General features: G+C 38.7%; 1 long non-coding RNA gene across 6 annotated transcripts in view; it reads right to left on the bottom strand.

The window, feature by feature from the left end:
- Nucleotides 1–24,588, bottom strand: part of SOX2-OT (SOX2 overlapping transcript) — a 685,549-nt gene that overhangs the window by 43,642 nt on the left and 617,319 nt on the right. The window lies entirely within an intron of this gene.

Below are 24,588 nucleotides of genomic sequence, written 5' to 3'. Positions count from 1 at the left end.
CTAAAGGTTAGTCTTTAGCACCCAGAAAGTCCTACTCTTGGCTCTTTTTGATTCATCATTAGCTAGCTTTGACTCACTAATTGCAGCCATGTGAGGGACTGGTGGCCACAGCCTTCCTATTACAGCACCCTATCCCCTCAGGCTTGCTCTTACAGCCACCTGGCTTCCTCCCTCTCAGTTCCACAGAGAGCCTCCGCTTCCTCTCACAAGGGAAGCCCTGCCACCTAGACCCCCCTGAGGTCTGTATCAACTCTGAGAGAGCCTGAACACTTGGCAGTGAGGGCGCTGTGGGGGACAGTGTTAGTTACTGACTAGGTTTGTCTACCTTTCTATAGGAATTAATGCCAGGGCTCTCTGGGCCTCCAATAGCCCAGAGTGACAGTAATCCACTTTCATGACTCCTGCTCTGTGTTGTCACTTGTGGCAAGAAAATAATGTGGAAAAATGGCTTTAATCTTAAAAACATGTTTTCACTGGATTCTCTACCTCTGTCCTCCACCCAGTTCATTTCTCCCTTTCTTCTCATAAACCATTTTAAAGATAAACACACTCAAATGAATCCCTCGACTAACTGATCTCAACTTCCACTTTCCCTTTTGGAAACAATTATGTTATTGGTTTACAATTGGTCTGGAGTCATCTAATAAGGAATTTTTATGGACTATCATTTAAACACCAACTAAAGCCTTTCCTATGAAGCTTGAAAAACAAATACATCAAAACAGAAAATTAAGTAATTTTTCACATGGTTGTTTCTCAAAAATTCATTTTGTATCACAGGATAAAGAGTCCAATCTCAGTTAGAAAAGAATGAAAGTCAAGACAATACTAAAAAGTTATGTACCTCCCAATACTCTCTGGATCAAGAAAAATGTGTCTGTAAAAGTGTGAGTGCATTGGGGGTAGAAGGGAAGTGAAGAGAGTAAATCAAGAGTGACTTTCACCAGAAAAGGCTAAGGTGGGTGAATTTGTTACTTAATGGTATTGTAGGAGAGGGTAGGGGCCTTATACAAAATTAAATCAATACTAGAAACTTCTTCCAACTAAAAGTGGAATGAGGAAGGGTGAATGTAAAATGTTTTAGCCAGTGTTTTCATAAAAAAGTAATCCACTGGAATAACTGAAGATCTCTTCCTGCTTCTTGTGTCATATGTATTTTTTGGATATCAAAACTTACAAAGGATGCTCCTAACTGAAAAAAAGCCATTTCATTTTTTTTACAACAACCTGAAAGAAGAATCTGAACTGCTGTCTTCTTTCCACTGAGGGGTTTTGGGCTGAATCTAAGACTGTAAGATAGGAGTGCATCCATGAGTAGCCCAAGGTGACTAAAGGTGAGGAAACCTGAGATATCTTATTACTTGGATCTATTCAATCCCAGCCATAAGAAAGCTGAAAAATCCCTCAGTTGACCTCGCTCTCCTGTGGCAGATCAGGACGACATATTTTTTTAGGCAAGTCCGCAAAAGTTGTCTCAAAAACTGTAATGCAATGACATCCCATCTGACATAGGGAAAGGCTTCAACGTTTAACTAAAAAATGTAGAATGTGAAACGCAAGGTGCAGGGCCAAACTGACAAACTGTCTTGATAGATGAGGGAATCAGGAACCAGTAGTCTACAACTGGAAAGCTGCTTTTAAAAAAACAAACAATAAACAAACCAAAAAACACAAACAAAAGCACTTTCTGTATCCGGAGGGCAGAAACTGAGGTGACTGACCAGTGCCTCTCTAGTTGGAACAAACACACATCACCCAGACGATGCTGGGTTGTAGAAATGGCTTTCTCACGGGGTTGGGAAATTTATGGGCATTTATTTAGAGGTGGCTCTGAATTGGAAACTTTACTGTTCAAAAGCGCTCTGGAGCCAAAGCTGAACCCCATATTTTACAAGCGCAAGCCTAGCTGGGGAGATGTGGAGGGTGGGGTTTTCCCCTCACCCTCAGATTGGGACTTCGGTGAATAAATATCATTCAGCAGAAACGACCTAGATTGAGGAAGAAAAAGAGAAAGGGGAAAAGGAGAGGAGGAAAGAAGAAAGAGAGGGAGGGAGGGACGAAAGAAAGGTAAAGAGGGGAATTTACAAAAAGGGAATTAAGCGGGCTAATGGCAGAGAGGATCAGCAAGAGGGGCACCGGGACCTGTTTTTAAATCGCGAGTGCTGCTTATAAGGAAACACGATACGCACGATCAGGGTCTGGATGTTCCAGGGAGCCAATGACCACACACATCACGAGTTTCACACAGATGGCATCATGTCATGCTTTAGTTATCAACTACCGTGAAAGCTGTAGCTTCTCTTTCCTTAAGCAATCAATCACGCCCTGACTGGCCACTTTCTACCCTCTGCACGTGGAAAGAAATCGGACTCAGAAGGCTCGAGTCCCGAGCCCTCGGCCTCCCGGTGCGGGCTCTGGGAGGCCGGGGCCGCCTCTCGTGACGCGCGCGCTCCTCGCCCTCCACTGGCCGCCCGACTGTGGGGAAGCGAGGCTCCAGCAGGCGCAGCGGCGCCAGGTCCGAGGGGGCGATTGCTTCCCACTTTCTGCGGGAGGTTTAGAAACGCGGGTGCTTTTAAATACACCTGGGTATTATGAGCATGTAATCTGGCCTAACACGATTGAATTATTCACTTAGAGAAAAAACAAAACGACCCGACACCCCACTTGACGCGCACTTCGAAGAGGCCTGGGGCCGCGGCGGGGCCGACGCCCACGCTGAACGCGACCTGTCCCAGGACGTGGCTTAAATTCAAACTCTAGCTTCGAACCTTTAGCCCGAGAACGCGCGCGCGCGCGTGCGAAGAGACCTGGAAACCTCATTTTTCAAAGCCTCTAGAATAAACTTGTCAGCCTGCTCGCCGCCTCTGTCCTTTCCTGGGTCTGTGGAAACCCGAGGAGAAACGGGGGCTGAGGCTGAAAGTGTCTTGAGGGATCGGGCCCGGCTGGGTGGGTCGGCCTTGTCCAGTTTCGCTGGAGTGGGGAAGCGGAGGCGCGGGCCGGCGGGCTGGGCTGCCCTGTGCCCCCAGGAACTGCGCCACCACCCGGCCGTGTCCGCCAGCCCCCTTCCGTGCGCGTCCGGCCCCCTGGCCTAGCGCGGCTCGGGCGCGGCCCTGGCTCCGAAGGAGGCTGAGGCCCCTCCTCGGAGCGGTACTGGCCGAGTGAGTCGAAGCCCGGGCTTTCCAGGCCCCCCTTCCCCACGCGCCTTCACGGGCTCGTGGGCTGCTCCGAGGCGCAGGCGGGCGGCCAAGATCTTGCTGACTCTAGACTCAAATGCGGAAATGAATTTGGAACCGTCTGTTTTTCCGGGTGCACAGTGTGTCCAGTTGGGTTCGTTCCCCGCACCCCGTGGGCGAAACGGCGAGCCCAGGAGAACCTCTCTGGAGGGCTGGATCGTGGTTCCCTGGAGAGCGGGGAGGGTTCGGGGGTGGAAAGTCAGGAACCGAGATTGGGCCAGCAAGGGACTGGGAGACCCTCTCAGAAGAGAGCGGCTCTCAGGTCAGGAGCCACGGACCTGGAAACCTGAGGTGGGGAAGGTGACAGTGCAGGCTCGCTGGCGGCCTGTCTGCTAAGTGGCCATGTACCTAGCCAGCATGGCCTGCCTTCTCACCCTTCTCACACTTCTGGAGCTCTGAGGCTCCCTCAGTCTGTTTTATGCTCTGGGACCTGACAACAGGGACTAGAGAAGGATGTAACTAAGTGGAAATTTAGAGGTAGAAGCAAGGCCTGTGGAGAGCCTTTAAATCCATTTAAATTCCTTTGTTATATACAAAATGAAGTTATACGTACAATCGTGTTTTGTCTTCATGTGTTAAAAGTATTAATTTTAAAATGCTAAACACTTAAAATATGCCACAAATTTTGTGACCCTTTTTTTTTTTCAGTTTCTTAATTTAACTATATATCCAGTGTTTCAATAAATGGAAATATCTCTGATCTCTCAACCTCTGAATAACAGGTTACTGGAGAGAGGGGAAGGGACCATGGATATTTGTCTGGTGTTTCTCTGGCATATCCTTACCAGGACCATGCTTTGAAAATCGCTTCTTGCATCAATCTGAGATAAATTTACTAGTTTTTTGGGTAAAATATTAATATCATCTGTTGGACTTCAAGAACAATTGAAACTAAGGCCATTTTCCAAGTGTACACCTTATGCATATTGTAATTACCAGTACGTAGTTGGATCTGCTAGACTTCTATTCTCTGAACCAAAATTCACATGAGGCAACCCCATGAACACAATTGTAGACTCAGTGCAAAATCTGTACATAAAAGTTGGAAAAGATATCTCAAAGTGCAATGGTTATATTTTATTTTTCTAATTCATATGCCCAACAATAGGGAGCTGGTTTGGGTGGCTTACCAATACAGTCTTAAAGAGAGTAAGTATTATGGTGAATTTTGAGAGAAAAGGAGAATGCCATTTTGGGTTTTGGAGGTAGAAAGGAATTAATGATCCAAAGAAATTGATTCCACGAATTTTTGTTCATATCTCCCCCTCCAGCTCCTCCTCCTAACACTCTCCCTTCACCTTTGAAGAAAGGGCAACATGTCTATTTGCTTGAGAGTGAAAGAGGAAAGGAACCAATCTTTAATGAGTATCTATTATGTACCAGATACTTTCTCTTATTTACTTCTCATAATAATACTATAAAATTGGAATTATTATACTTCCCCTCACCCCAACGTCCCCTCATTACAGAATAAAGGAAGATCCAGCTAGGTTAAAGATCTGTGGTTTCACAGCTGGGAAATAATAGATATTCAAATCTAGCTCTATAACTTTAAAACCCAGTCTGGTCTTTAGAATCTGGTAGACTGAGTCCCCATAGACTCAAGCAAGCATCACTGGTTGCTGACTGTTGTGGGTACAAGAGAAAAATTTGTTATAAACAAATTTGTTGTGGGCTTGTCTTTTTCTTCTCTCCTGTCTCTGGAAGAAAGCCTCTTAATTCTGGCTCCCCTTAGGATCTTTTGGCTACGGAGAAATTGACTAAAAGCAATAATATAAAAGTCTGTGCCTTTTTCCATACCAAAGTTGGGCCTAGAGTTTAAACTCAATTTTCAGATTATAGGTCTCAATTGGCATTACTTCTAAGGCTACCCATAGGCTGGCTTGATCCAGGTAATGATTTCATGAGGACAGACTCACATAGGTCAAACTAAGTATCACTCTTAAAACTCTAGCCTCAGAAACCCAAAGGATGGGAGGGAAATATAGTAGTAGCAGAACACATGACTGCTAATTAACCTTATTAACATATGCAAACCAGTGAACATTTATACTTTATTTTTTCAGGAAGGCAATTACAATTTTTTGCCTTTTATTAACTACCTCCCTCCACCCCTGATAGTCACCTATATCGAAACTGCCCTTTAAAAGGTCAGTAGAAATTATTTTAAAACATTCAAATATAAAAAAGTATTGTTATTTTAATAGGCACTGTGAATAGTTTAATTTGTATCTTGTATTAAATTAAACATATGGTGAACAGGGTATAATAGATTTTCTATAATTTTGCTGCCAATGTGGCAACAGCAGCCAGTTACTCTCACCAGCAGACTTGTCAGTGGTTTGTTTACTAGCTTATTTGAATTAAAATAAAGCTTCGCTTCTGCTGACTGCACATCATTATCTATGAGACCATAATCCTGCTAGCAAATCCTATATCTTCCAGAACTGGCTCTTTTGTTTGGGATTACTGAGAGCTTAGCCTATAACAAAGAGGAATAAGGCATCCCTCTCATCCTCATAATTAAGTGTGGGGACTAATTTAGAAACAAACCCAGAAAGATGTACTATTTGGAGTTATATTTCTTTACAGAATAGAGGAGAAACAGGATAGGCCAAACACCTGATTGTTAACAGAATGTTTAAACTATTAAGCAAGTGTACTACAGGAATCCAGCTTGTTAAAATTAAGAGCAACAGCAAATAAGGCATTGATGGCCTTTGCACGGGGCAGTAATTCTGTATGAGGGATCTGAAGGTATGTTTGGGAAGAGGAAGTATTAGGGTGTCAAGCTGGAGAAGATGTGCTGTGTCCTTTCTCAATGCCATTTATTGTCTTCTTTCATTTTTCTAACAGGCTGCACAATTAAGAGTTATTGTTATGAGCAGAACTGTTAACATGCTGAATAAAAATAAAAACTTTTTTTATTCACTAGAACAAATATAACTTTGGAAAATTGTCATTGGAAATGGTTAACATTTTACTTCCAAGGTGCATAAAATTTAGCAGAAAGAAAATAATAGGTGATTTCCTGGCCCTTTCCATGGCTCAAAACAAACCTCCATGTATTCTTATAGCCCAATTCTATCTGTGTTTAAGGAGATAATTTTACAAACAGGATGTATATAAAAACAGCCTTCACAATCTACCATCCATGTATAAACTGATGTCTGTTAAAGAAGAGAGAAAACACAAGGGTTGATTTATCAATGTCTTCAGCATTAATTGTCACAGATGGGAATTCTGAGAACCTCTGTGAAACCAAACCAGACTCCGGCGAATTATAAAGCAGGTCCTTAGACTTTAAAAACATTTAGGCAAAGTGACAGTTCAGAACATCTGTTAGCCTTCTGTCTGAGTATAAACTAGATGTCATGGAGTGCACAGCTGTAGGCATTTTAGGCTTTTTTGCCAACATCTGTCACAGCAGTACAATAATATAGGTAATTATCAACACCTTATATAAACTGTTTGCTATTTTAATTTTTAGAAAGAGTAAAATTAGTGTTACAGTCCTTGGCAAAAATAATTGAGATGAATATAATCATCTTTATCTAAAGATGAATAAATGATCTGATCATTCTTTGAAAAGCACACATTTTAAATATTTTCTGCAGCCAATATGGGTATTATATCATTTTTAAAAGCAAAAATTGTAAGCGATCTTGTTTTTGAAAAATAAAAAAAAAGACAAACCACAAGCCAAAGTAATTTAAGGGAAAAAGAAGAAAGAGGCCAATAATTTGCTATCCAGAGTAACCAAAGGTGATATGATTTGTGGTAAAAAGATAGCATTTGTTAATACCACACATTGTGGCATTGATTTCATCTTCATAAAAATTAAAAATTCCTTTTATAATATCATTATAGCACAATCTATAGTGGTGAATTATTTTAAAAATTGCCTTCCTCCTCTATCTCCTCCTGGTCATAGAATTTTTGCAGAAAAATGGCAAATAAACCTGTAACTCATATCCTGCCACCTTAGTTAATTTGAAAAGCTCTAGCTCCCCATATAAGTCTAAGGACCCTTTATTCCATTAATACCACCTGGATATGAATCATCTACAGTGGATGTCCTAAGATACTGGGCATTATTGTCTCATACCTGATTCTCTTGACCTATTCCATAGTTGTTTTCCAGTCTAAAGGACTCAAAGCAGCAAGACTATATTCCTAAGCACCTGTTCTGGGGAAGATGCCAGTCAATAATGTCTTATTGAAAGACCAGGTCCAGCGAGAGGAAATAAAGGAATTGAGCTGCAGTTGGATTTCATCATCTAAACATGCAATGTAATCTTAACCAATTCATTACACACCCCTTTTGTTTCCACTACAAAAGGGATGTTACCTTTGTCAGAGGTTGTAATTCCAGTATGTTCAAGCAAAGACAAGGGAGAAATTGAAAAAGTGCTATCAATTCTATCCACAGTCAGGAAGAGCCATAGGGTCAGAAGGCCATTGTCACTACCCCAGGTACAGTTCAGACTAGACCACAGATAGCTGAAGTTTCCATTGCACTAGAAAGGTATAATAAAGGAGAATCACAGAAAATACTGAATAAGAATCGGAGTAGGAAATCATTTTTGAATACATTTGGCTTAACACATATGAAGTTGAACCAAATGGTTGTCTCTCTTTGGGCAATAGTTGTGGATGCTTAAAAGTATGCTTTCTTAGAATAATCTTGTGGAGGAGGCAAATTTTATTAATAGGAGGTCAATAAGGCAAAAACAATGAATCACAAATTTCAGCATTCATAATCTAAAGGTCTACAAAGAGTTAAAGGGGAAAGAGAAGGAGGAAGTAAATATAGCTATAAAGGGCAGACAGCTTGGCCCAAAAGGAAGGATTAAGAATGAAGAAGGTGATAAAAGAAAAAAGAAAATGTGATAGATACTGACAGAGAATAAGGCCATCTGAGAGGGTGGGGGAGGAGCAAAGGAGGATATTGATTACCAAATGGAATATTAGGGACCAATTTAAAATTTAGGGACTGTGAGTGTTAATGCTTCCTAAAGAGTGTTCCCTTGTAATAAATGCGTCTTAGAGAAACATTTTAAAATAATACGTTAGTGGTATGGTTTTGAAGCCTGTTCAAGTGGATTCACTTGATACTTCTCAATGTTTTATTTCTTTACCAGTGAGGAAAACTCAGTGTATTTTGAGGTCTAGTAAAGGGGGAAAAAAAGAAAGTAAACCATTTTCCAAACAACTTGGAAAATATCTTATTTTAATAATGAATTTGACTCCTTAAGGACATTACTTTTTTTCATCTGGTTTTAAATATTTGGAGCAAAGTAATGAAATAAGGATATCTGCAAATATTAGATATTTGAGTGAACTTCAAAAATCATTCTTTACTAAAGTTAAGCTTATAAGAAAATACATATTACTTTAGAGTTTGCATTGTGAATTTGAAAGTACATTGTCTGTAAATCTCTCTCCTTGATTGCTTGGCACTCTTGGATTGATAAGAATAGTACTTTGTTAGGGTCCACTTTACATTTTGAAAATTATTTGCTAGAAGTCAGAGCTAGGAAATCCACCCTCTGAAACACACACAGTTTGCAGTCAGCGTGCTCTCATCTTCTACCCTCTTTTGTGCTATCGCCTCCCCCGGCTTGTGCCTACTTCCCTCATCTTCTTTCATTAAGTGTCTTAATCCAGGCTGATCTTTCCTAGGTAGTATCCTAGGCTTGCCCCATCCTTCAGCTTTTCAAAATCTGAAACAAATGGCTAATAGATGGATTCACCAAAATATACTGATGACTGATAACAATGTGCTTTTTCTTCAAAGTTACTAGCCTTATGCCATAAGCTTTTGAAAGAGGGGGGTTGCAGATCTTGGTCATTTTTGTATCCTCTGTATCACTCAACAAAATGCCTTCTCCATAGCAAATACTCATTAACTTTTAAGTGAATATTTGTTGAGTTTTGTTTTTTTCTCCCTAAATCTAGTTGTAAATCACTAAGTGAGAGTATTCTTTAATTTTTTTATTTTAAAATTTTGGTGACTTATATTTTAGGTTCCACTAGCTAGAGATACAGTGGTCAGGTAGAATTGAGCCTTCAAAAGTAACACTATTTTTTTCCCTATTGATGTTTATTATCAGCATAGTAAAGAGAAATTATAAAATGAAGATGTAATCTGTAATACTACTACCTTCACGCCACAAATAACATTTCTATATTCCCTCCTGATCTTTGGCCCACAAATACTTAAAAATTATATTTATTTAATACATTTATTTTTATGTTTATTTAATTTTACTGTGTTTTGAAATTGAATTTGTCAGTAAGGGACACAGCATTACTCTAAATATTAAAATTTCTAGTGGTGGAATTTTAGGTCTCCACAAAAAGTCTGAGAAAGACATTTTTGGAATGGGGAGATCTTTTCAGAATTTTCTGTCAAACTAATACAAGGCCAGTGTCCAAATATAGCTAATCTTTTATGATTTAAATCATAGGATCTTCAGTTGTAGAAGGGGAAATTGGAAGCATGGAATTTTGGGGACTTAAAGTAGTCCTGAGAGAAAGAGAAGATCCAAACTGGGAATTAATAGTTGGTATTAGCTCCCATTTTAACCGTTGCTAACTAGAGGTATTTATCTGTCCTTCCTGGAGTCCATTTAGGTAAAAAAAAATCCCAGATCTCCAAGTTTTTCTGTCCTTATTACAAATATATTCCTCAAAATAGTTTTGTCAAAAGGGTTTGGATGTGTAGGCCATATTCACCAGCATGGAAAAAAATTAATTTTCCTATTATCAATTCAATCAGCCACTCCTACCATCACCCTTGCAGGCAGCCCAAAGTCCTTCACAGAAGAAACACCGGAATGTTTTGTTAATCAAGGGATCATATTGGACATTTTCAAGTGTAATGGAATTAATATTTTTACCACTATAGAGCCAAAAAGATTTGGAAGAACTGCCACAATGCAGAGTTTAGCCTTGAATGTCCATTACTATCAAATACAATGATTAGAAGAATACAAAAAAGTAGTTGATTAGAAATATGCACTTGAATGCAGCCCATTTCTCTCCTTTCCCATACCCTATTATGGCCTTAATATTCACTGTGGTACTTATATATTTAATAAGTAGTGATTCCCTTTAACATAACACACACACACACACACACACACACACACACACACACACTACACATTCCTAGACACCCAATTGCAGGAGGCTAATTTGTTATGCAGTGCAGTTTAATCAACCATTTTTTCTTTAAGTAGGATGGCATTTAGAGCATTTTTCTTTCCTAACGTGAAACCAAAATCTTACAAGGCTGCCACCAATATGTAATATTGTCAGTCTAAACATAGAAGGAGATTGCTTCCTTTTGAAGCGCTAGAGTTCATAGGATCACAGAGCTAGATCTTCTGGAATTCTCTGTCTTATAATTCAGCTTATCCCAAAGAGGCCAGGAAATCAGGCCACAGGCCAGGCAGAGAAAACTGTGCTACATAGAAAATGCAGAGCTGATTCCCATCTTGCACCTGCAGAATCTGCTGTCAGCTGTTCAATTCTAAGTTCTGTGGCTTTTCCCAATTCCTGCTTGTTGGCTGTCTAATTTATTAACTCCTTAATATCTGCAGCAAAGACAGCACAGGCAAATATTTATGAGACCGAGAAAAACACACAAAAATGAAAGGGTGATTGAGGAGGCTGACTGAATTTTGTCTTTACTTCAAAGTCTAAGTGGTCGTTGCTGAGAATTGTTTCAACAGCTGCACATAGTCCAGAGTAGCATCTCAAAATTCAGCCTTGACTTCCTAGCCCAGGCCATTCATTCTACCTTCACCAGCCAGCTAGCCATTCAGTACATCATCCTCATTTTATGTTGCAGGCAAAAAGCCAACAAAAATATGGTCACCTTTAAAAGGCTTTTAAACAGTGAGCACCTCCCTCCTTTCCCAATTGTTCCTTGCTTTTCACATTCCTAGTTAATAGGTTTTTAAAGCAGTTTCCCCAACTCTTTTCCTGCCACATACTGTCTTGCCTAGCATCTATGCAGCAAAAGGCTGTTCTTCAAGAGGCTTTTATATCCATTGTACTTCTTTGTGCCTTTCAACGGCTAACTCTTCAGGTAGGGGCTAGGTTTCTTGTTTAGCATATTTTGCATGTTCCAAGCCATTTACAGCAACTACTGCAAAAGTGAAGATCAAAATAAAAATAATAAATACAGTCATTTTACATGAAGCTTAGGGGTCATGTCTGCAGTTTTCTATTTGCAAAGGTATCTCGTAAATATCCAACAAGAGGAATACTTTCAGGGAGTGCACCATTTTGAGTTTACATGTAAAGGTTAATATAAGGTTTATTTTCTTTTTATGAGAATTAAAGTTCCCTGGTAAGTCTTGGGGCTTTAACTTGTTGAAACACTGATACACTATCAGGCTATTTGGAAATCCTTCTCCTTTGCTTGATCTTATCAGGAGAAAAAAACAAGAAAAGGTTGCAAATCGTGGGCACTAGAACACTTGAATATCGACAGTTGGTAAGGAGCTAAAGGTCTACATTTACATTTTTCTTTTAACAACTATTTAACAAGTATTTCTATTAGCAAGTATTGTCTGCTGTGTGCCAGGAATTATGCTTAGGCATGAAATGTAAAGATCAATAAGAAATAATTTCTGTCCTAGATGAAACTCACAGTCAAGTGAGAAGAAAGCAAATAAGCTATTAATTAAATGCATATTTTGAGAAATAATGCTTTGTGGCTTTGCTTGAAATTAAAATGGTTTGTTTAGCTCAGAGATAACAAATCTAAGGTAGGTAAATATGCTGCTAAAACTTGAAGTAAACAAGCATTTTCACTCCTGACCACTGAAAATAATAATGACTAGCATTCCCTTTTAAAATACTGTAATTACAATTGGATATTCTTTTTCAGGCCCTGCAATGCTGTATGCTTTATCTTCCACATTGAGACCAGTGATCTCATATGTTGCCAAAATGAATTGAAGTTTTCCAAGCAATGAAACCATTATAAGTTATTCAAATACTTAAGTCTTATAATATGTTCTTTCTTCCTGGCTTTGTCCAGTGGGTGATATTTTACAGTAAGTTATAGAAAGCTAGATTAGTGAAGCCATTCAAGGATGAAACTGTCACAAGTTTTTTTCTCCTCTGTGCTACTGCTATGCCTGGAACAAACTTTACATTTGAATTATTTTCCTATCGTTTGTTGTAGTTCTTTCTTCTCTTTAAAGAAGGGATCATACATTTATGCTTTATGATATCCCTTATGCCTAACATAGTGCTTGGCACATAGTATAGGATTATGAATGAATGAAGGAATAAATAAACAAACATGTTTAAGCTTTTCTTCATATGGAAGTAGAAAACAGATCTACTCAGCCACCTGTGTCACTCTATCTCTATCTTTAACAACACATCTTTTTTATTTTATACATAATACTTCATAGATTAGCTTCTAAGATGAGCTGGTTACTCAATATGTTCAACTTCTGATATCCAGAAGTATCATATTTATTTTTTATTTTCACTGATTATTTGTAAAAATACAATTAACATAGTTTTGTTAAGATAGATTCGGATGGTGTATTTAAGGAGGAAGTAACCACAAGAAGTACTTCAGTAAAAGGCCCAATAGACTGAGGTTTTTGTTTGTTTGTTTGTTTTTTGAGACGGAGTCTCACTCTGTCGCCCAGGCTGGAGCACAGTGGCGCTATCTCGGCTCACTGCAAGCTCCGCCTCCCGAGTTCACGCCATTCTCCTGCCTCAGCCTCCTGAGTAGCTGGGACAGGCGCCCGCCACCAAGCCCGGCTAATTTTTTTGTATTTTTAGTAGAGACGGGGTTTCACTGTGTTAGCCAGGATGGTCTCGATCTCCTGACCTCGTGATCCGCCCGCCTTGGCCTCCCAAAGTGCTGGGATTACAGGCGTGAGACACCGCGCCCGGTCCAGAATTTTTATTCTACTCTTACTTCCTCTTAAAGTTTGGCTTATGCCAAAGTCACACTTACTTTTGATTAGAAATTATACAATTATGGGTCATGCTGTGATCAATCTCACACCCTATGTTGAACGGAATATTCTGTACATAGTTTACAGAATCTAAAACCTTTAAAAAGTCTAAAAATAAACAGATGCTACAGAATATAGCTATGCATGCATCTAAAAAGAAAAAAATCCTAAGAAACAAAGGAAATGTCTTCCAAATCTTTATTAAAAATGAGATATTTCTGATGATTTTTCATTTATTAATTTATTCAATGAATATTTATTGATCACGGATTATGTGAAGGGGGCTTATATAGGTGCTGTGAGGAAAAAAAATGAGTAAGAAATAGTCCCTGCTCTCAGAGAACTTTGAATCTGGTATATAAGATGACAATACAAAAATAATGTATTGTAAAGCAGAATATAATTAAAGTTTTACGAAAAGCACATTAGGGAGGTAAGATTTGAGTTGGACCTTGAAGAATGTAAATCTGCAGAGATGTGTGGAAGGTTTGATAAGCAGAGAAAACAGTATGATGTGCTAGTTAAGTTTTCTTGACTGGAACCTGGGGGACATACTGGGATGGGGGCTTGCATAGGTTAAGGTCACATAGTAGAGACATTTATATACAGACCATGAAGTCTAGACTTAAATTCAGGGAACACTGGGCAGTTATTTTTGAAATCAGAGAATAGAAATATTGTATTTTGGGGGAAGATCAGGCTGTCAATCTGTTAGATGGCTAGGTGTAAGGGGAGGAAAAACTAGCTCTGGGAAGCTGAGTTGAGAGGGTGTTATGAAATTCTGGGATGAGAATATTATATTGGATTTTGGCTGTGGCAATTGAAAGGAGAAGATGAATACTGGATGAATAGTGTAGCTATTGGAGTATCCTAAATAGGAGTGTTGAAAAGCAACAAACAGGAGTCAAGTATGGCACCACAATTTTGGGCTGAGAAGAGGAGATTGGGGGTGTTGAGAATAGAAACGGGAAAGTCAGGTGGAAGAACTAATTTAGTGGGAAATATATGAATTTGGTTTTGATCCTGTTGTATTTGAATTACTGTTAGAATGTTCAAGTTGGGGATAGCTGTCAGAGAGTAATGAAAATGGATGAATTTGGGAGATAGGTCAGGGCTGGAGGTAGAGATTTTGGAATCTTTGGCATAGTGATGATAATTTAAGCTATTCAAGGAAATAAAATCTCAAAGAGAGAGAGAAGGGGGGTGGTGAGAGAAGAGAAAAATGGAGAACCCAGACACCTACATTTAAGAAGATAAGCCCATAAGGGGAGACAATGAGTCATCAAAAAGATCAAAGGAATACTAAAATTGTGAAGGGTTATAGGGATCAGGAAAGGAGTTTACAAAATGAGGCATGGTCAGTAGCAACCAGAAATTTTCACTTTTTCAAAAAAGTTCTCATGTTAAAAACATTGTCTATGTTTCTTCCATATGTCTTTGGTGTTATATGTCTCACAAATAATGTTCTGTGTTTGAAGGCATTCACACACAAAACTATTAGTAATCATTAAACTGGAAGAGTGTGTGTGGTGGGGAAGTGGCAGTGTCAGATTTTCTCTCTACTAGTCAGGTATGTTAGTCAAGGTCCCAGGAGGAAACAGATGGCATGTTCAAACTGAGATAATTCTAGGTTTTACTAAACCTAACAAGGGCTTAGTAAAGAAACTATTTACGAATATGTAGGCAAAGTGCAGGGAAACCACAAAAGATAATGTAGTATCCCAGTGCCAGGAATAGCAGAAGTTAACATCCCTAGGTCCAAATAGATGAGCAGAGGAAGCAATATTTGGAACTCAGAGAGAATGAGTGGTAGAGGGAGGACCACATGTACCCCACAGACAAGCACACCTATTATATAGCCAAGTGGTAGAGGTTGCTTCCTTGGCCAGGCTTCTGACTCTGGTCAAGGAAACAACAAGTCTGAAGGGACTTCCAGGAAGGGAACTAGGGAGGTACATATCCTGACCGCACTCCCCTGTTTCTTGGATTTCTTGTTGGAGATTGGTCTAACACAGTTGAAAGCTAGCTCTCAAGGGAACATGTATATACATATATACATGCTTCTGAGGCAGAACAGGGAGGGCAAGGGTCTGGATTGGTAAATGGAAGATATATGGCACAAACTGGATTATGTGAATTTAAAAACAAAGCCATAGTAACCAACATTGCTTGGTACTGGCATGAAAACCGACACATGGACCACTGGAACATAATAAAGAACCCAGAAATAAATCTACGTATTTATGGCAAACTCATTTTCAACAAAGGCACCAAAGAATGTACATTGTGGAAAGGACAGTCTGCAATAAATGGTACTGGGAAAACTGTATATCCATATGCAAATAAATGAAATGAGACCTCTCTCTCACCATACACAAAAGTCAAATCAAAATGGATTAAATATTTAAATGTAAGACCTGAAACTATAAAACTATTAGAGGAAATCATTGGGGAAATTCTGCAGGACATTGTTCTGGGCAAAGATATCTTGAGTAAAAAAGCCCCTGGCTTACAAGACCTAAAAATCACAGGCAACCAAAGCAAAAATTGACAAATGAGATTATATCAAACTGAAAAACTTCTACACAGTAAAGAAAACAATCAACAAAGTATCAAGACAACCTAAGAAATGGAAGAAAATATTTGCAAACTATTTATCCAACAAGGGATTAATAATCAGAATATATAAGAAACTCAACTCAATAGTAAAAACCAGGCCGGGCGCGGTGGCTCACGCCTGTAATCCCAGCACTTTGGGAGGCCGAGGCGGGTGGATCATGAGGTCAGGAGATCGAGACCATCCTGGCTAACAAGGTGAAACCCCGTCTCTACTAAAAATACAAAAAAATTAGCCGGGCGCGGTGGCGGGCGCCTGTAGTCCCAGCTACTCGGGAGGCTGAGGCAGGAGAATGGCGTGAACCCGGGAAGCGGAGCTTGCAGTGAGCCGAGATTGCGCCACTGCAGTCCGCAGTCCGGCCTGGGCGACAGAGCGAGACTCCGTCTCAAAAAAAAAAAAAGTAAAAACCAAATAATCCAATTTAAAAAATGGACAAAAGATCTGAATAGACATTTCTGAAAATAAGACTTACAAATGGCCAATGCATATATGAAAAAATGCTTAACAACCCTAATGATCAGGGAAATGCAAATCAGAACCACAATGAGATATTATCTCACCCCAGTTAAAATGATATTAGCAAAAATAAAATAATAAATGCTGACGACTATGCAGAGAAAGGAGAACTCTCATACACTGTTGGTGGAAATGTAAATTAGTATAGCCACTATGGAAAACAGTATAGAAGTTCCTCAAAAAACTAAAAAATAAAACCTACCACACAATCTAGCAATCCCACTGCTGAATACATATTCAAAAGAAATAAATCAACATATCAAAGAGATGTCTGTACTCCCATGTTTATTACAGCTCTATTCACAATAACAAAGATATGGAATCAACCTGAATGCCTATGAACAGATGAATGGATAAAGAAAATAGGGCGTATATATACACAATGGAATATTATTTAGCTAAAAAAATGATGAAATACTGTCATTTGTAGCAACATGTATGGAGCTGGAGGACATTATGTTAAGTAAAATATGTCTGGCACAGAAAGACAAATATTGCATATCCTTACATGTAGGAGCTAACAAAATTGCTCTTGTGGAGGTACTGAGTAGAATGGTGGTTATCAGAGGCTGGGAAAAGTAGTGGGCAGGGAGGAGGTTACGGAGGGGTTGGTCAACAGGTACAACAAAATACAGTTTGATAGAAGGAATAAGATTTCACGTTTGATAGCACAGTAGGACAATTATAGTTAACAGTAATTTGTTGTATATTTCAAAATAGCTAGAAGAGAAGATTTGGCATGTTTCCAACACAAAGATATAATAAATGTTAGAGGTGATTAATATTCCAATTATCCTGATTTTATCATTACATATTGTATGCTTGCATCAAAATTTCACATGTACCCCATAGAAATGTAAAACTATTATACAGCCATAAAAATTAAAAAAAATCAATAAAATAAATAATTATGTATTACTTCTCTGATTTTATTAATTTTAATATTTTATTTTATTTTATTTATTTTTGAGACAGAGTCTTGCTGTGTCACCCAGGCTGGAATGCAGTGGCACAATCTTGGCTCACTGCAACCTCTGCCTCTTGGGTTCAAGCAATTCTCATGCCTCAGCCTCCCGAGTAGCTGGCATTTCAGGTGCCCGCTATCATGCCTGGCTAATTTTTGTATTTTTAGTAGGGATAGGGTTTCACTTCGTTGGCCAGGCTGGTCTCGAACTCCTGACCTCAGGTGATCTGCCCGCCTCAACATCCCAAAGTGCTGGGATTACAGGCATGAGCCACCACACCTGGCCTCTTCTCTGGTTTCTAAAAGGGGTGTGTGTAGGTGTGTATGTATGTGTATGTAACTTTCTGCATGGTTTATGCATTCACATCATCCTAATTTTGTAAGGTACAGCAGTATATAAAATAATAACTGAAGAAAAAGAAGCTATAACCTCCCCACCAAAAAGCCCCTAGCTTACAGAGTTTTCCAGTGGAGTTTTACAAAACTTTCAAGAGTTTGATGGTATGTATCTTATTTTATTTCTTTATTAAAATTGGCAAATAAAATTATATATAATTATGTACAACATGTTTTAAAATATGTTTACATTGTGGAATAGTTGAATCATGCCAATTAACATATGTATTACCTCACATACCATTTTTTGTGAGATAATACCTATTTTGTATTAATTGCTTCAGAAAATGAATAAAAAGAACAAAAGAAAAGCTGCCCAGTTTCCTAGCTAATTTTATACGGCTATATAATCTTGATTCTCAAACTAGATAAGAAAGCCATAAACCCATTTCACTTATACATGTAAGTGCAATAGTCCTAAATAAAATATTAGCTAGCCAAAGTTAACAGTTCATGAAAAGATAACACATATTGATCAAGTAGTATTTATTTATCCCCGGCTGGGCGTGGTGGCTCACGCCTGTACTCCCAGCACTTTGGGAGGCCGAGGCGGGTGGATCACGAGGTCAGGAGATCGAGACCATCCTGGCTAACACGGTGAAACCCCGTCTCTACTAAAAAATACAAAAAAAAAGTTAGCCAGGCATGGTGGTGGGCGCCTGTAGTCCCATCTACTCGGGAAGCTGAGGCAGGAGAATGGTGTGGATCCGGGAGGCGGAGCTTGCAGTGAGCCAAGATCACACCACTGCATTCCAGCCTGGGCAACAAAGCGAGACTCTGTCTCAAAAAAAAAAAAAGAAAAAAAGTATTTATTTATCCCAAGATTGAAAGGATAGTACATCAGAAAAATGTGTCAATATATTTCACTTTAATACTAGGCCAAAGAAGACATAACATATGATGATTTCAAAAGACACAGAAAAAGCATTTTATTCATGATAAAAAGGCAAAATAAAATATAAAAGTACTTATGATAAAATTTACAGAATATTAAGAATATCAGGGAAATTCCTGGACTATTTACAAAAAAACTTATGAGAAAATAAACTGACAAGAATAAATTTAGAAGCATTTCCTTTAAAACAAAGAAGAAAAGAATGTTTACAATTTCCAGTTACAATCCATTTACATGTTTACCATCTCAACATAGTATTAGAGGCCCTGTCTATCTTTAAAGACAGAATAAAGGCATAAGTCATGTTAGGATTGAATAAGAAGATATAAAAAATTATTATTGGTAGATGACATGTTTACCTATATAGAAAATTCTATTGAATCAACATTCTATGAGTACTAACAAAAGTTCAGCAAGATTGATAGAAATATACAAAGCACCCAAGAAAGCACTTTAAAAAGGAATAGCCAATTTAGTCATAAAATAAAAATAAGATACAGTATTATTATAAGAAATATAAATCTGGCCAGGAGCAGTGGCTCACACATGTAATTCCAGCACTTTGGGAGGCTGAGGTGGGTGAATCACTTGAGGTAAGGAGTTTGAGACCAGCCTGGTCAACAAGGTGAAACCTCGTCTCTACTAAAAATACAAAAATTAGCCGGGTGTGGTGGCAGGCATCTGTAATGCCCACTACTTGGGAGGCTGAAGCATGAGAATTGCTTGAACCCCAGAGGTGGAGGTTGCAGTGAGCTGAGATCATGCCACTGCACTCCAGCCTAGGCAACAGAGCAAGACTCCGTCAAAAAACAAACAAACAAACATATACATATATATATGTCTCCATACTCAAAGCAATCTTCAGATTCAATGGCAACTCTATCAAATTCCCAGTGGCAATTTTTACTGAAATGGAAAAAAAATTCCAAAATTTATAGGTAACCCCAAAGACAATGAATAGCCAAATCAATCTGAGAAAGAAGAGACCTGGAGGCATCACACAGCCTGATTTTAAAATATATTGCAAGGCAACGGTAAACAAAACAGTATGGTACCGGCATAAAGACAGGCAAATAGACAAATGGAACATAATAGCCCAGAAATAAATTCATGCAGATAGAGTCAATTGATCTTTGATGAGGGTGCCAAGAATACATAATGGGGAAAAGGATAGTCTCCAATAAGTGAGGCTTGGAGAACTGAATATCCACATGCAAAAGAATGAAATCGAACCCTTATCTTACATCACACATGAAAATCAACTCCAAACAGATTAAGGACAAATCTAAGCCCCCAAACTATAAAACTCCTAGAGGAAACTGTAGGTAAAACGCTTGATGACATTGGTCTTGGCAATCATTTTATGAATATGGCACCAAATGCACAGGCAACCACCACCACAACAAAAACCTAAAGCAAAAACCAACCAAACAAATGGGACTGTATCAAACTAAAAAAGTTTCTGCACAGTAAAGGAAACAATAGAATTAAAAGGCAACCTGTGGAATGGGAGAATATTTACAAACCATATATCTGATAAGGGGTTAACCTCCGAAATATGAGGGAACTTCTACAACTCAATGCCAGAAAAAAACTAATAACCCCATTAGAAAATGGGCAAAAGACTTGGATGGACATTTCTCCAAGGACATAAAAATGGACAATGGGCATAGAAAAAAAAATCCTCAACAGCACTAATCATCAGGGAAATGCAAATCAAAACCACAATAAGATATTACTTCACACCTGTCGGGATGGCTATTATCAAGAAAACAAGTATTGCCAAGGATGTGGAGAAATTAGAACTCTTACGTACTGTTGGTGGGAATGCAAAATGGTGTAGCTGCTATAGAAGACAGCGTAGAAGTTCCTTAAAATAAAGAACTACCATACAATCTAGCAATCCCACTCTGGGAATTCATCCAAAAGAATTGAAATCAGGATCTCAAAGAGATATTAGCATCTCTATGTTCATTGCTGCACTATACATACGAACCAGGATGTGGAAATAGCTGAAATGTCCATCACCAGATTGATGAATAAAGAAAATGTGGTATATACCTAAATGGAATACTATTCAGCCTTAAAAAAAGAAACTCTACAATATGTAACAACATTGAGGACATTATTCTAAGTAAAATAAACCAATCACAGAAAGGCAAATACCATATTATTCCATTTATAAGAGGAATCTAAAATAGTTAGATTCATACATTGAAAGTGGAATGGTGGTTGCCAAGGGCTAGAGGAGGGGTAAATTGGAGTTACTAATCAATGGGCATCATGTTTCAGCTAAGCAAGATGAATAAGCTCGAGAGATCTACTGTAAAACACTATCTATAGTCAATAATAACGTATTGTACAATTAAAATTTTGTTAAGAGGGTAGATCTCATGTTAAATGTTCTTACTCACCCCCCAATAAGAATTGTAATTACATTTCAGGACAAATCAAGAAGGATTATTTGTTGTTCCTTTATATTTCTTTATCCATTCAACAAACACTAAGTGCCTCCGACAAGCTTACTATCAGAAGTTTACCCAAGCTGACATTGCATTCTTTCTGTGGCTTCTACTAAGAGACATCTTTTCTTCCTTATACAAAGCATAGGTGTTTAAAAGACAAAGATAAAAGTAAACTGCAATCCCAGAACAAGTTTTGCTGATGCTCCTCCTCCTTTGCATTAGCTCCTTCTGGGTGATTTAATAATCACAGCTATATTTTTCCATTTCTTTCTTAAGTGTCTTACTAAGTGTCTTCCTTATTATATAATTCCTATTAGGCAGTATGTTACTCATTTTTGGGGGAAAAACCATTGCTGAGAGTGAAATTGGTGTCACCAGATTTGCTATCTACTAAACCTCTTTTATTTTATTTTATTTTATTTTATTTTATTTTATTATTTTTTTTTGAGACGGAGTCTCGTTCTGTCACCCAGGCTGGAGTGCAGTGGCACAATCTCGGCTCACTGCAACCTCCGCCTCTTGGATTCAAGAGATTCTCCTGCCTCAGCCCCCTGAGTAACTGGGACTACAGGTGTGCGCCACCATGCCCAGCTAATTTTTGTATTTTTAGTAGAGATGGGGTTTCACCATATTGGTCAGGCTGGTCTTGAACTCCTGACGTTGTGATCCGCCCACCTCAGCCTCCCAAAGTGCTGGGATTACAGGCATGAGCCACTGCGCCCGGCTAAACCTCTTTTAAATAAAAATGTGCGTTAAAATTAAATAAAAAAAATCCTCATTCTACTGTTTCCTTTAGTAGAAAGACAGCAAAAGATATAAATAAGATTTGAATAAGTGATGAAATATACTATGTTTACGGTTGGTATGTCGTAACCTACTATAGTTACCAATTCTGTGTAAGTATACATACAAAGTAAATAAAATTCCAATACAAAATTTAATTGAATTTTTAAAGAACACAACAAATTCTGAAATTTATATGGATGGCTAGAAGCCCAAAATGTCTAAAGAATAGCATAAAAAATGATGGGCCAAATAGATGGTATTACTTTCACTCATCAGATATTAACACATACTATAAATGATGATAATGATGATAAATGTTGTTAACCCAGCAATATATAAATAGATCAATAAAACAGAATTGAAAAAAACAAAACAAACAAACAGAGAAAACAGAATTGAGAACTCAGAAATAGATCTGAAGATCAAGTTAATGTGAGGACTTGTTATATGATAAACATCTAGTGGCTCATGCCTGTAATTCCAGTACTTTGAGAGGCTGAGGTGGGAGGATCACTTTAGGCCAGAACTTCGAGACCAGCTTAAGCAACATAGTAAGAACTCATCTCTACAAAAGAAAAAAATTAACACTAAACATTTGTATCACAAAGGAATTAAAAATGGACAAATTGTTTAGCATAATAGATTATGTTAGGATACATGTCTCATCATGTGAAGAAAAATACAGATTTCTAACTCACACAAAGGTTGTCTGTTGACGGATGAAAGACCTAAATGTAACAGATAAATCTATAAAGATGATAGAAGAAAATATGAAATAAAGTTTTTGTGACTAAGGAGTGGGGAAAAGTTTCTTAAACAAAATCTCAAAAGCACCAACTATAAGTCAAAAAGTATGGTTGAATTTGGCTGCGCCAAAATTAAGGAATTTTGTTCAGTGTGAGTAACATAGATAAAGTTAACAAACATGTTATTATTTCCAATATTTAAAAACTAGCAGGGATAATATGCAAAACATGTGAGAACTTCTTAAATTAACAAGAAAAAGATAGGAAACAAAAATAAAAATTCCTAACAGGGTAAACAGTTCACAGAGGAGGTTCAAATAAATAACAAATATATCGTGAGTTGCTAAAGTTTATGATAAAGAGGCAAAACACAGATTAAAACAACAATGAGATATCACTTTATATGGATTTGAATGGCAGCAGTTAGAAAGGTGGATAATAGCAAGTATTGGAGAGGGCTTACAGGTATGTGCCACCACGCCCGGCTAATTTTGGTATTTTTAGTAAAGACGGGGTTCTGCCATGTTGGCCAGGCTGGTCTTGAACTGTTGGTCTCAAGTGATCACCCACCTTGGCCTCCCAAAGTGTTGGGATTACAGGGGTGAGCCACTGGGTCTGGCCACAAGTGCTATTTATTTAAATAGAAAACACATCATTCTTTACAAAACAACCATAACTATTTTTTAATTCTGTACACATTAAAAGATACACATCAATCTCTTTAAAATGGGCAAGTCTTTGATGGAGGAAAATAAAATAATTGAAGAAAGGGCAAAATAAAGTGAAGGAGAAGCATCTTGCATGGGCCAATGACAGTATACTAAGAAATTAAGGCCATAATTTAATCAACCTGCTGCCTCTGGGAATCTGAGGTTCAAAAACTAACAACAAGGCTGGGTGTGGTGACTCACAGCTGTAATCCCAGTGCTTTGGGGGACTGAGGCAGGAGGATCACTTAAGGCCAGGAGTTTGAGACCAGCCTGGGCAAAATAGCAAGACTCCATCTCAACAAAAAGTAAAAAAAAAAATTAGCAGCTGTGCACGGTGGCTCACACCTGTAATCCCAGCACTTTGAGGAAACCAAGGTGGGTGGATCATGAGGTCAGGAGTTCGAGACCAGCCCAGCCAACATGGTGAAACCACATCTCTACTAAAAATACAAAAATTAGCCGGGCATGGTGGTGGGTGCCTGGTAATGCCAGCTACTTGAGAGGCTGAGACAGGAGAATCACTTGAACTTGGGAGGCAGATGTTGCAGTGAGCCAAGATCATGCCACTGCACTCCAGCCTGGGCAACAAAGAGCAAAACTTCGTCTCAAAAAAAAAAATTAGCCAGGCATGGTGGTGTGCACTTGTGGTGCCAGTTACTCTGGAGGCTGACGTGGGAGGATTGCTTGAGCCCAGGAGGTAGAGGCTGCAGTGAACTATGATCACACCACTGCACTCCAACCTGGGTGACAGAGCAAGACCTTGTCTCAAAAATAAACAAAAAACTAACAACAACAAACCAAACCAAACCGGATTTAGGTGTTTTACAATTTCAATCTTTTGCTATTTCAAATTATGCTACAATGGCTGTCACATACCATTTTGTAATTTCATTTTTATTTATGTATTTTATTTATTTATTTATTTTGAGACAGAGTTTCACTCTTGTTGCCCGGGCTGGAGTGCAATGGCACAATCTCGGCTCACCACAACCTCCGCCTCCCGGGTTCAAGCGATTCTCCTGCCTCAGCCTCTCGAGTAGCTGGGATTACAGGCATGCACCACCACGCCCGGCTAATTTTGTATTTTTAGTAGAGATGGCATTTCTCCATGTTGGCCAGGCTGGTCTTGAACTTCCAACCTCAGGTGGCCCACCTGCCTTGGCCTCCCAAAGTGCTGGGATTACAGGTGTGAGCCACCCCGCCCAGCCTATTTATTTATTTATTGAGACGGAGTCTCACTGTGTCACTCAAGCTGG

The sequence above is a fragment of the Homo sapiens genome, chromosome 3, assembly GCF_000001405.40.
Source record: "Homo sapiens chromosome 3, GRCh38.p14 Primary Assembly".
In the NCBI taxonomy this organism is placed as follows: domain Eukaryota; kingdom Metazoa; phylum Chordata; class Mammalia; order Primates; family Hominidae; genus Homo; species Homo sapiens.
The sequence above is the reverse complement of the archived record's forward strand: the minus strand, read 5'-3'. Positions and strand labels throughout refer to the sequence as shown.